Source organism: Homo sapiens, chromosome 14 (assembly GCF_000001405.40).
Source record: "Homo sapiens chromosome 14, GRCh38.p14 Primary Assembly".
Lineage (NCBI taxonomy): Eukaryota > Metazoa > Chordata > Mammalia > Primates > Hominidae > Homo > Homo sapiens.
In genome coordinates, this window is record NC_000014.9 from 95,477,758 (window position 1) to 95,490,053 (window position 12,296).

Here is a 12,296-nt window from a genome sequence, read left to right on the forward strand (position 1 = left end):
ACAACTTAATATGTTCCCTGTAGCCACTCCCTGCCTTTGAATGCTTTACTTGAAAAGTGCATTGGATGTGCAAGCATTTAAATGTATTTGTTGTGGCTCTAATTTCTCAGCTAGTGTGTGACTTGAATGGCTTCCAAAAACTCAGCTTTTATTTTTATTAAGCAAAGAATGGGAGGGACAGAGACGAGTCCTGCTGAGTCTCAGATGACAGGACAGTGGGGAAGCGTGGCTCTAATCATCAAGAGGCAGCGAGGCTTTAGAGCACCCCTTCTTGTTGGCAATGCCCGTGACCTGTGAGGCTCAGTGGTTGGTGTCTGGAGGGTATAGCAGATGAAACCCAGGGACCCGGTGGGGTTGAGCAGGCGGGGATGCTCAGACCAACCGAACTGTGGGCTGGGCGAGGCTGCAGGCAGAGTTCAGGAGACCTGAGCCTCCTCTGCAATTCTGCCTATTTTGCTTCAGTTCAATGAAACACAGGACTTAAGAGGCAGGCCTGATGCTATGATCGTAGCATCCAATAAGCAGACAGCAGACACTATCTTACTCTAAAGAAGCTCTCAGAGGAGCTTCTTTACCACCTAATGTGGTATCAGGGACAGTTGAACAGGGAGTCTGTGAGGGACCTCTGAGGTTGTGGGTTGAGAGGGTCGATGTTACTGTGACCCCTGCACGCCAGGTCCTGGGGACCAGCTTCTGCCCTGGGACTACCAGACTGCTCTGGGTCCTCCCTTTTTCTGCCCGTCGGACCCCTCCTCAGCCAGCCTAGAGCACTGCTTCCTGTGTCACCACTCCCTGTAAGGCAGGACGAGGTAAGCCAGCCTCCCACAGCCATTGCACAGGCGCTGGTCACTCCCTGAACCCCTTGCAAGGAAGAATGGTCTGGGGGACACTGTCTATTGGCAGAGGTATACTCTTCCTGTAAAGGGTCAGGTAGAAAATGTTTTTAGCTGTCTCGGGCCACATACAGTCTCTGTTGCATAGTCTCCCTTGCTTTTACGACCCTTTGAAAATGTCAGACCCTTTCTTAGCTCACTGGCTAGACAAAAACACACCACGAGGGCACTTGGCCTATAGGCTGTCGTGAGCCATCCCCTATCTCAGGTGGTCCAAGGCTACAACCAGCAACTGCAGAAAGCCCAGCAGGCAGCAAAGCTAGCTGGCTAAGTGACCCCACCGGCACATGTCTGGGAAAGAGTCAGCCATGAGGCCAGAAGGACCTAGAATTGGTCCCAGTGGTCAAGTCCCCATGACTCACTAGCTGTGTGGCATCTGGCTGGTCACTTAACCTCTCTGGGTGTCCATATTCTCATCTGGAAAATGGGGATAACACCTAGATTTAATTAATTTAAAAACCCATCCAGGTGCAGTGGCTCATGCCTGTAATCCCAGCAGTTTGGGAGGCTGATACGGGAGGATCACTTGAGCTCAGGACCAGCCCAAGCAGCATAGTGAGACCTCGTCTCTACCAAAAAAAAAAAAAAAAAAAAAAAAAAAATTAGCCAGGTGGAAGGATCACTTGAGTCCGGAAGGTCCAGGCGGCATTGAGCTATGATGGTACCACTGCACCCTAGCCTGGGTGACAGAGAGAGATTCTGTCTCTAAAATAAATAAATAAATAAAAATTTAAAAAAATTGCCCAGAACCTGGAGCACACACCATGCTTGGAAATAGTTCCTTTTTACCAAACGCACAGGTGTTGGGTGGAGGGCTTTCCATCCTTGGGAACCTGCATCCAGACAGCAGCTGTCTCACCAGCTCAAGGTTGGGGGAGCATAGGAACTGGGTTACCAGCTGATAGACTAATGAATCAGTGCACTAAGTGGCTGCTGAGTGCAGGTGCTGAGGATGTAGAGACAGACCAAGTGTGGCTCTGGCCTGGTGAGGCTCCATGTCCAGTGCAGTGGGGGTGGAGGGCGGGGATGGACGCACAGTAAGGCAGCTACAGTGAGGCCAGCATGAGTTTTGAGACAGGAGGACAGGGGCCACGGGACCTCAAAGGAGTGGTTGTCACCTGGCTTGAGGAAGGTGGCTGGGAGGCACTGCCTGCTGAGGGCACCAGAGCTGGCAAGGGTTAGGCATTGGAAGGGGCGGGTAGGAGACAGCTCCAGGCCAGGGTGTGTGGAGGAGGGAAGCACTCTGCACTCAAAGGTGGGCTGAGACTGGGGTCACTGCAGAAATGGCAGACGCACACGGCCAAGGACAATGAGAAAAGGTTGCAGGAGTGAGCAGAGCCAGCATGCCTCTCTGGCACGGGAGAAGTTTCGTCTCTGGACTGGTTGAATGGAGATAGGATTAAAAAATAAATAAATAAATAAATAAAAAAGAACTGTGCAGTTTCCAAACAGTATTGCAAAAGAAATGTGCTCAGGGGTAAAAAGAAGCAAAAAAAAGTATTTTCTGTTTCCAAGCCCTGTCTGGGGACATCCCTGGGGTGTGGCTGCAGGCAGCGGGAGAGTAGGGCTCTAGGCGTGTCTCTGAGCTGTCCCCACTGAGTCAGTGAGAGGGCTGGCCATGAGAGTGCTGACCCTTTCTGGGTCATGCTGGCGCTGGTGTATGGAGGAGACAGAAAGGAAACAGCCTTGGGTTTGGGTTTCAGCGTCCATGTGGTTATCACAAATGACAGCGGAAGAGAAGTGATTTTTTTTTCATGATGGAAACCCCCGAGCTGGGGCAGATGATGTGGCAGGCTTGAGACCGAGCCCATGCTCAGAACACAGAACCTGGGTCAAAAGCTATGGGCCTGGAAGACCAGCCAGTCCCCCAGAGGTGGATAAGGTCTGTGGGCATGGCTGGAGACACAGCCTCCCCAGGAATGGACAGTAAGGATGCACTTTGGGAGAGGACAGGAATCTTCCAGAATCTGAGCTCCAGGCTTTAGCCATCTTCTCAAAATGGGACACCTTAATTTGAGTCATAAAGAAAGCTCAGAGTGCTTTGAAGAAGCTGAAATATCATAAGGAAGAGTGTGGTTGACTCAGGGATACTGGAAAACGTGATGCAAACTGAAAAAAAAAAGGCCAGCCATGGAAGAGAAGGTGCTAACACTCATGAAATAAGGACAGGCCCACACCACGTGAGGCCCTTGTCCAAAAGCCACCCCGTTTGGGCCTCCTGGCATCCCGGTCTGAAAGGCAGCCCCAGCCCATCTCAGCAGCAGCAGAAGGGGAGTAGCGGGGCTGCCTCTCAGCTGAGCTCTGTGGCCCATTAGCTGGCGGCCTGGGCAGAGCCTCCTCCCCACCCCCGACCCCAGGCACAGCAGCGGCATCTACCTCTTAGAATGCTGCGGGGCTGACTGGGGCAGGTGTGGGAGCACCTGGTCAGTAATAGGTGCGTGGGGCACAGGAGCGGCTGTTACCTTCCACAACCCTAGATAAGAATGCGCAGACTGCAGTCACTGGCCCAGGACATGGAGGCACTTGCAGTAGTGCTGACATTTAAACCTTGTTCTATTGGATTCTGAAGCCCGAGATTCTCACTAGACCATATTGACTCCAAAATAAAGTTGAACTTCACCTACCGTGGGGCATCCAATAGAACTGCCCCTGGGAGGAAAGCAAGCCCGTGTGAGTCAAGGTCCAATCAGCAGAGTAAAGCCCCTCCGAGTCCAGCTATGAACCAGGAGGGTGTAATGAGGAGGAGGAGCTGAGAAGCTGCGAGGAGACAAAAGGAAGCCCAGAGATCAACCCCTACGCTAGAGAGACAAGGCGGGGAGGCAATGTTAGATGTTCCTAGACCCATGTTGGGGGCCGCTGAGCAGCAGGAACTAGAGCCCCAAAGGAGATACATCTGCTGCAGGAGACACCACCCAGGGCGGAGAGGCTGTCAGAGAAACCCCCAGCCGACTACTTACCTCTGGTCCTGCCAGAAGCCAGTATAGGGGAGCCGGGACAATGCAGCCCGCAGGGGGTCAGCTCTCCTGTGACCCAGGGCAGAGCAGAGGACGGGGAGAAATAGATGTGTGGGCCCCCAGGCCAGGGCTGCCCCTGTGGTCCATCGGGTAACTGTGAATGTCCATCTGGACACCAGCTCCCTTTGCCCGATTCCAGGCCTGAAAGCAATTGGCCGAGATGCAATTTGGTCTCTGGGGGACCAGGCTTGCAGGAAGGAAAGGATACTGGCACCTGGCACTGAAAAAACGCCCGAGGCAGATCGCCTGCTGGGTCAGCACGTGGATTGCCAACTGAGGCTGAGGGCCCTGTGTCCTGGGGTCGCTGGGTCCAGACCTCTCTCCCTCCCTTCCCCTTCCCCGGCTCTCCAAAGCTCAGGGTGCTGGGTGGGGCCCCTACTTGGCTTTGCAATGCCACTGGTGAGGGGCTGATGCCCCATAAGGACCAGGTTCTTACCTCTGTCTCAATCCCTCCAACACCCTAACAGCAGTTTTTAAAATTCTCTGGGGCCAGGCGTGGTGACTCACGTTTGTAATCCCAACACTTTGGGAGGTCAAGGCAGGCGGATCACCTGAGGTCAGGAGTTTGAGATCAGCCTGGCCAACATGGTGAAACCCTGTCTCTACTAAAAATACAAAAATTAGCCAGGCGTGATAGCGTGCGCCTGTAATCCCAGCTACTTGGGAGGCTGAGGCAGGAGAATCGCTTGAACCCGGGAGGCAGAGGTTGCACTGAGAAGAGATTGCGCCACTGCACTCCAGCCTGGGTGACAGCGAGACACCATCTCAAAATAAATTAATTAATTAATATTATCTGGGAATTTGAAAACACTAATTCTTGTCATTCAGTGATCCAGAGGCTCCAAGAATCCTGCTCAGGTCCTAACCCAATCTCGTTAGCGAACTCCCCTGAAACATGAGAGCAAGCCCCTCCCGAGCAAAGAAAGCGGCAACGTCAGTTTCAGGGAGTGACTGTCATGTGGCGGGCATTATTTGTCCCATTTTACAAAGAGGGAAACTGAGACTCGGAGACACAAACAGTCTGCTGAAAAGTGGTGGACCCAGGTCCACCAATGACAGTAAAAGCCGACATTTACCCGGTGTTCTGCAGGTGCCTGACTGTATGACAAAAGGTTTGTAGGTATTAACTCACTTATCCTACATAGGCCCAGTGACACATTCACATTATCCCTACTTTACAGCTGAGAAAACAGGTTTAATGATACTAACAACGCTGCCCAAAGTCACCGGGATGCTAAGTAGCAGAGGCAAGACTTGAACCAAGGATGACTTGAGTCTAAACTCTTTGCTATTAAATCCCCTGGTGCCACACAGCTTCCACGGCCCTCTCTGTCCCTCCCAGAACCCCACTGGTAACTGCCGAGTTCCAGGAAGGTAACTCCAGGGCAGGAATCTATCTTGAGCTGCAGCTCAAGAATCTAGAGTTCAGGGAAACCAACTGAGCCCCCCAGCTGCCAGGCAGCCTCCGTCACACTGTGCCCGCTCACTCCAGCCCTGTGCCAACCCAGCTGCCCACTGACATTCTGCTCTGGAACTCAGAAGGCGTTGGGATTCAGACCCAGGTAAACCCAGGTAAAACCCCAGCTCCCATGGCAGGCCCCATTAGCGATTACAGCCTGGTGCCCCTGCTCTGTCAAGCTGGCCGGGGCCGCCCACCACAAGCTGACCCAGAGTTCTGGCATGGGCGTGCTCGCTTGCCGTGACTCACTCGGCTGTCCTGTGACTCATTCCTGCCCTGCCACACACATTCCCACCCTTATCCTCTCTTTCCCACTGCTCTCTTATGCTTGGATGTTATTTCAGGAACTGAGTTACAGCTGGTCTTAATCCCAAAGCTTTTTCCAATGGATTCTGGGAACACAATTTTGTTTATTTATCACAGAGGAGGTTGCACCAAGAGGATAGACCTTGGCAATCTTCTCCTCTGTGGCACTGGCAGAAGGTGATTCTCAGAACAAAGTGTGTGAAAGGAGGGATAGGAACTCAACGGTAGCGCCCATGCATTATCTCATTTAATCTCACAACAACCCTGCCAGGCAGCTAATCCAAAGTGAGGAGCAATTACTGGGCTTCATTCCGCCTTAGAGGTGAGCAGACAGAGGCTTGGCAGGTTAAGGGACTGCACCAAAGCCATGCGGGCTGCAGGGCCACGCCACCCTCTGTCCACCAGCTAGGCATGGTTACACAAGAAGTCCCACCTTGGAAAGGGTTGTGAGGTCTACTCTACAATTACAGCCACAAAGGACACTGGCCAGGGACTGCTTTGGAGGCAAGCGGTCCCGAAGCCATTTTAAGTCAGTCCCACTGTCACAGACCGGTGGTGTCTGGTAGGGAAAGCCAGCTGCTCTCTGATGCACCTGCTTCTCCAGATACGCCAACCATAAAACCCATTTCCAGTCTCTCTTCAATGAATGAAACCCAAGTTCCCTAGGCATAGTCTGGAGGATGCCAGGATTTCCACCTGGGAAGTGCTGGCCTTGGCAACACACAAATACAGGTGTTTGAGAGGGAGAGAAGACACCAGGGCAGCTAAGAGGGAAATGGGACAGAGTGGAGGGGGCAGAGTGTATGCAAGGTAAAAAGAGGTCCCCAGCCGTGGTAGGGATGAAGGCCAGGCTGCTGCAGAGATATGTTCCTAGGGCAGGGTGGGTGGCTCCAAGGGGTGGGGCCTTAGCTCTTGGGACCAGGTGTGATCGTCTCAGGCTCCAATTGGACACTTTGAAGGGGAGGGCTCCCAGGAGGTTCAAGGGGGCTCCTGAGGGGAACCCTGGCCACGGAGTAACAGGGGCTGCTGGCAGTGTGGGCGGAGCCGGTCAGAGGGCAGGCAGGCAGGGCACTGGCCATCTGCTGCAGGTCAGAGAGCACTGAGCAGGGTACCAGGGCACAGGTACCAGCCTGGCTGGAACATTGAGTGCCATGGGCCACTGGTGTGTGGACAAGCCAGTCAATGCAGCGGGGTTGGTACTGGCTTTTCACACTGGGAGTGTGACTTATGCATGGGTTGTGAAATCTACTCAGGGGTCTTGATCAAAAGTGCTTTGTAAGGAAAGAAGATAGAATAGAATGAAAAATATCACAGTGCCTCTCATGGATGAAGGATAAATACTGTTTCATGAGACTGTTGCTTGTTTGATGGATGTGTTGCATATGTATAAATGTAGAATGTATTTCACTGAGAGTTATGATTTAAACAAAACCAAAATCCTTTGAGGAACGGTGGATTCGCTCAGTGATTCTCACACTGGCGCCTGCCTCAGAGACACCTGGGGGTCTTGTTAAACCACAGATGGCTGGATCCCACCCCCAATTTATAAAACTGGGGGCTAAGAATTTGCATTTCTAATGAGTATTTAGGTAACGTTGACACTGCTGCTCCAGGACCTCACTTTGAGAACCATGGGCTTGGAGGATGTCTCAGCCTCCCGTAGATGAGAACAGATGATTCTAACCATGGGCGTGAGTGTGTATTTGGCAAATTCATCCACACGGTGGGAGGGCGGTTGGGGCTGGGTCCTATTAGCTTTGAGTCAATGTAGGCCAAGATTAGAAATCAGAAAGCAATGAAACTGCAAAGAACCCCTGCCCTTCTTGCCTCAACTGCATCAGTCACTTCTGTTTCTGAAGAGCAGAGCAGGCTTCCTCCTCTTGGAGAAGGACAGAGTGAGGCGGGGCTGCTGGCCCCCTCCCCACATTCCAATGGGCTTCACTTCACACAGCTTCCCTGGAGCCACCTTAATCAATAGACCTGAGGCATTCACTTGAGAGTGAGAACGCACACATTCCTCAGATGCCCTGAAGGTAAACTGAGAGAGTCGGCTGCTCCCCGACCAAAGACAGGACGCCCTAACCTACAGGTGCTAGGAGCTCTGCAACCCCACCTTCTGATGGCCACCCCTGCCCCACAGCCCCTAGACCTCCCAGGAATGCCGAAATGCTCAGCGTTTTTTTCCCTCTGCCCTCACCAGGCTGTCTCCTCTCCCTCTCCCCTTACACCACTCCCTCTAGGATACCCAGCATCCCCACAGGCTCAGCTCAGATGGCTCCTCTTCCAGAAAGCCTTCCCTGAATGACTGACACAGCCATGGCCACTCCTATGCAGACATCCATCTCAGCCTGGATCCCACTGGACTATAAATATCTGTCCCCTCATCTCTCCTGCTCCTCACTTCACCTCCTTCGTGGAGCTCAGCACCTGCTCTGAGTCAATATTAATGAATGCAACTTCTCCCACCTCACCCCTGAGGACCAGCAGAGTCTGATTTGGGACAAGGGTCAGGGGAGGGACAGAGGTGCAGACAGCAGCCTGCACTCAAGGGGTACACTGCACCCCCACCACCCCTTATCAGCTCCATCCGCATGATGCCAGGCAGAAGGGAGAAGGGCTGTGTCCTCTGGAAGCCCTGGGAAAGCGGCCCTTCCCCGACCCCACACATTTCAGTGGAAACACACTCCCCAGTGCCCATAGATGAAATCTCCAGGGCCCTGGCCCCTGAGGAGAGCTCCCATCTGCTCTGGGGCAAGGCTAATCCCAGGTACTGAGCCAGCCCCCAGGCCCCCATCACCCCCAAGAAGATCTGGCCCAGTGGGGCAGTGCCACCCAGGATGTCTGACCCCTGGTCCCTGCATCTGCCTGCACCTTCCTCAGTGACCCACCCAGCACCCTTGACAACATGGCACTGACACCTGTCCCCCAGGCCACCCCCCACCCCTCTCCCAATGTCTTATTGGCCCTGGGAGTCAGAGGTGCCAGGCCTTACCCTCCCCGCCAGCGCCTCATGCCTTCTCAGGCAGGGGTCTTCCCCACAGAGGGACCCTCCCTGAACCCCCCAGACCTGCCTGGCTGGCTGGCCCTGCCTTCCCTGACATCTCCCTCTTCCTGGGCCATCTGTACTGCAGCCCAAGGGAGCAAGAATGGTTCAATGACCACACACACGTCACCACAGTCCTCCTCAGCCCTAAACCCCAGCGGCCCATGGACAGACGCTTTTAAAGCAAAATTATGGCTGCACAAGAACACATCCTCAGAATGTACTCTTTTCAACAAGGACTTGAGAAATGACAGCCTTCTACTAGATGAACATGTCTTTCCATTGAAAAGGACTGTGCCAAAATATAGGGTTTACACTTTTTTGTTTTTATTACACGCAAGTTTTTAAACTTCACATAAAACTCATGGTCTCCAAAGAAATCCTCCTGACACCCCAAGGTGAGGGACCCCAGCCTGAAGGATAAAGTCAGTGTTCCTTGGACCCTCAAGGACGGTGCCTCCTGCCAGCCCTACAGTCCTAACTGGCCAGGGTGCTCCCTGCGCTGCATGCCAGCTGCACCACACTGCCTGTGTTTCCAGAATATTAGAGTCTGGGTGCCACAGCTCCAGTTAGTTCTGCCTGGAGAGTCCTTCCCCCACTCTGCCCCACCCGCCCCTCCGCACCTGCTTCTAGCTGACTCTTCCCTGTCTCTTTCAGCTCACAGCCACTGCAGGTGCAGAGGAGAAATCTTTTCAGCCTCTGCTCCTCCTGGTAGAAGCGACTTCTCCTTTCTTTGGGTCCCCACAGGGCCCAGTGGCTGTTGCCATTTATGACATGTTTACTAAGCATTTGACATGATTTTCTTATATTCTCTTACATTCTTTCTTATATTTCTTACACCTTGGAGGTAGGTCCTGTTATTGTTCCCATTTCTCAGTGAGAAGACCAAGGATTGGGGAGGCCTGGCAAGGTGAGGGATAGAGTGAGACCCGGAGCCGGCACTTCCACCGCGATGCCGTGTTTCACTGTCCGTGTTGCTGGCACGAACCACAGGAGCTCCCTGAGGAGGGGTTTGTCATGTTCATCTTCCTGACTGATCGGCTGGAGATTGGAGCTGCCATTATTTTAAACCACCTTCTTGGGGGTATAATTGGTAAATAAGACACTTCACATATTTCAGCTGCACAGTTTGATAAGTTTTAGATATACACCTATAAAGCCAACACCCGTCCATAAAATGAACATACCCGCCTCCCCTTTAAGCTCCCTGGCTGGTTTTGTAATTCCCACCTCCCACCTACACCCTCTCCCAGCCACCACTGATCTGCTGACTGTCGTTGTAGATTTGTTTGCATTTCCTAGAGTTTTGTACATGAATGGAATGGGATGACACAGAAAATACAGGTGACCCCTGAACAACACAGATTTGAACTGTGTGGGTCCCCTCATACACAGATGTCTTCTGCCCCTGCCACCCTCGAGACAGCAAGACCAACCCCTCCTCTTCCTCCTCCTCCTCCTCCTCAGCCTACTCAACATCAGGACGATAAGGATGAAGAACTTTATGATGACCCACTTCCACTTCATAAACAGTAAATACATTTTCTCTTTCTTATGATTTTCTTAATATCATTTTCTTTTCTCTAGCTTACTTTATTGTAAGAATATAGTATGTAATATATACAACATACAAAGTATGTATTAATCAACTTTATGTTATCAGTAAGGCTTCCAGTCAACAGTAGCTATTAGCAGTTAAGTTTTGGGGGATTCAAAAGTTAGACTTAAATTTTCAAGTGTGCAAGGGCCTGGTACCCCTAACCCCTGCAATGTGCAAGGGTCAACTGTACTCTTTTTAGAGAGAGGGGTCTGATTTTTTCACTCAGGATGGTTATTTTGAGATTCATCCATGTCGTTGCCTGTATCAGTGGTTTGTTCCTTTTTGTTACTGAGTACTATTCCATAGCATTCCTGTGCCACAGATTGTGGATTCATGCACCCACGGATGGATAGTTTCCAACAAAGCTGTGATGAATACTTGTGTGTGCACATATGCTTTCATTTCTCTTGTGTAAATACCTAGGAGTGGAATGGCTGGATCACATGGTAGGTGTATATTTAAGAAACTGCCAAGGCCAGGCGTGGTGGCTCACACCTGTGATCCCAGCACTCTGGGAGGCCAAGGTGAGAGGATCACTTGAGCCCAGGAGTTTGAGATGAGCCTGGGCAACACATGGAGATCCTGTTTCATAAAAGAGGGGTGGGGTGGGGAGGGAAGGGGAAGGGAGGAGAGGAGAGGAGAGGAGAGGAGAGGAGAGGAGAGGAGAGGAGAGGAGAGGAGGGACTGCAAAACTGTTTTCCAAAGTGGCTGCACCTCTTTACATACCCAGCAGCCATGTGTGAATTCCAATTCCTGCACGGCCTTGACAACACTGTACGGTCAGTCTTTTCATCTTAGCCCTTCTGGTAGCATGTCATGCTGGCTCACTGTGGCTTGCATTTCTCACTGGTTTTGGCATTTGTGGTGTAGGACGGCCTAACTGAGCTCCCAGACTCTGTGCTGAGCACTTCCCAGGGATCTCCTCCTTGAAAGCTCCTTGGTGTGCTGAGCACCGGGCCTGCTGGCTGATGGCTAAGGGGGTGAGCAGCTGAGTGACTGAGTGACAAAGACACTTGGCCAACAGGGACCTGCTCCAATTCTCAGGGTGCTGCCAGCCAACTCCCTGCAGGCAACTCTCTGAGGACAGAACCAAGCACCATGAAGCAACAGCCAAAGCCAGTAAAAGCAGAAGACAAATGGAGTCACCCACAGGTGCATGGGGCTTTCTGAGCTCCCCAGCAGCACATCCATGGGGCCTCTCTCCCATCTCCTACAGGTCCCAGACAGATTCCTGTGTAGGGCCTGGAATTTCTGAACAACTCATGCAGCTGCCAGGGGTTCTCCTGGAATAAGGATTGAAAATCAACAACTTTTGAGTTCAGGGACCTGAATCCAGTCCAACTCCTCTGAACTCTGAGCCTTTTGTTCTCATTTGAACATAAACTGCCTCTGGGCACAGCCCTTGCCTATTTTGATCACAACACGTGGCACTTACTGACACACAGTAAGTGCTCACACACATTTGTGAATGAAAGATACATCTGGAAAATATAAACTACAATACCTACCTCGGTTGGTGCTTAGTAGGTACTCAGAAAGTGTTCTTTTATTTGATTATTTTTAGAGACAGGGTCTTGCTATGTTGCCCAGGCTGGTCTCAAACTTTCTAGGCCCAAGATTTCTGCCTCAGCCTCCCAAGTAGCTGGGACTACAGTCACGAGCCACCATGCCTGGCTTATTTTTTTTTGAAAAGAAAGAAGTGTGGAGCCAGGATGGACATCTCTCTGCCCTCATTAGTCCTTGATTTCACATGCTGCTGGCTCAGGGGAACTGAGAAAGGCAGGAATCAGAGGCAAGAGTGGGCCTCAGCACAGACTCTGTAACCCCAAAATAAGAGGCTTCCTTCAGGCCACGAGTGGGGGCAGAACAGGCTCTGGAATGGGGTTAGGAGTCATGGTTCCAGCGTGGGCTCCACCGCCAACTTGCTCCCAAACCCCAGTTTCCTCAATGGTCAGAGTGGAGCAATAGTTCACACCTGACT

General features: G+C 52.0%; 1 protein-coding gene across 6 annotated transcripts in view, besides 1 other annotated feature; it reads right to left on the reverse strand.

The window, feature by feature from the left end:
* Positions 1 to 12,296, reverse strand: part of SYNE3 (spectrin repeat containing nuclear envelope family member 3) — a 109,385-nt gene that overhangs the window by 70,492 nt on the left and 26,597 nt on the right. The window contains exon 2 of one of the 6 annotated variants that reach the window (NM_001384283.1): positions 3,518 to 3,650. The exons of the other annotated variants lie outside the window; for them this stretch is intronic. Coding sequence (NP_001371212.1) covers positions 3,518 to 3,527 — 10 coding nt within the window. The 5' untranslated portion in view covers positions 3,528 to 3,650. The remainder of the gene's footprint in view (positions 1 to 3,517; positions 3,651 to 12,296) is intronic. 6 annotated transcript variants of the gene reach the window in all.
* Positions 2,473 to 2,872: an enhancer, noted in NCBI's record as "active region_8960". NCBI's record gives its function as "activates an Ori minimal core promoter by ATAC-STARR-seq in GM12878 lymphoblastoid cells {active_cell/tissue: GM12878}" and the evidence as "EXISTENCE:reporter gene assay evidence [ECO:0000049][PMID:35858748]".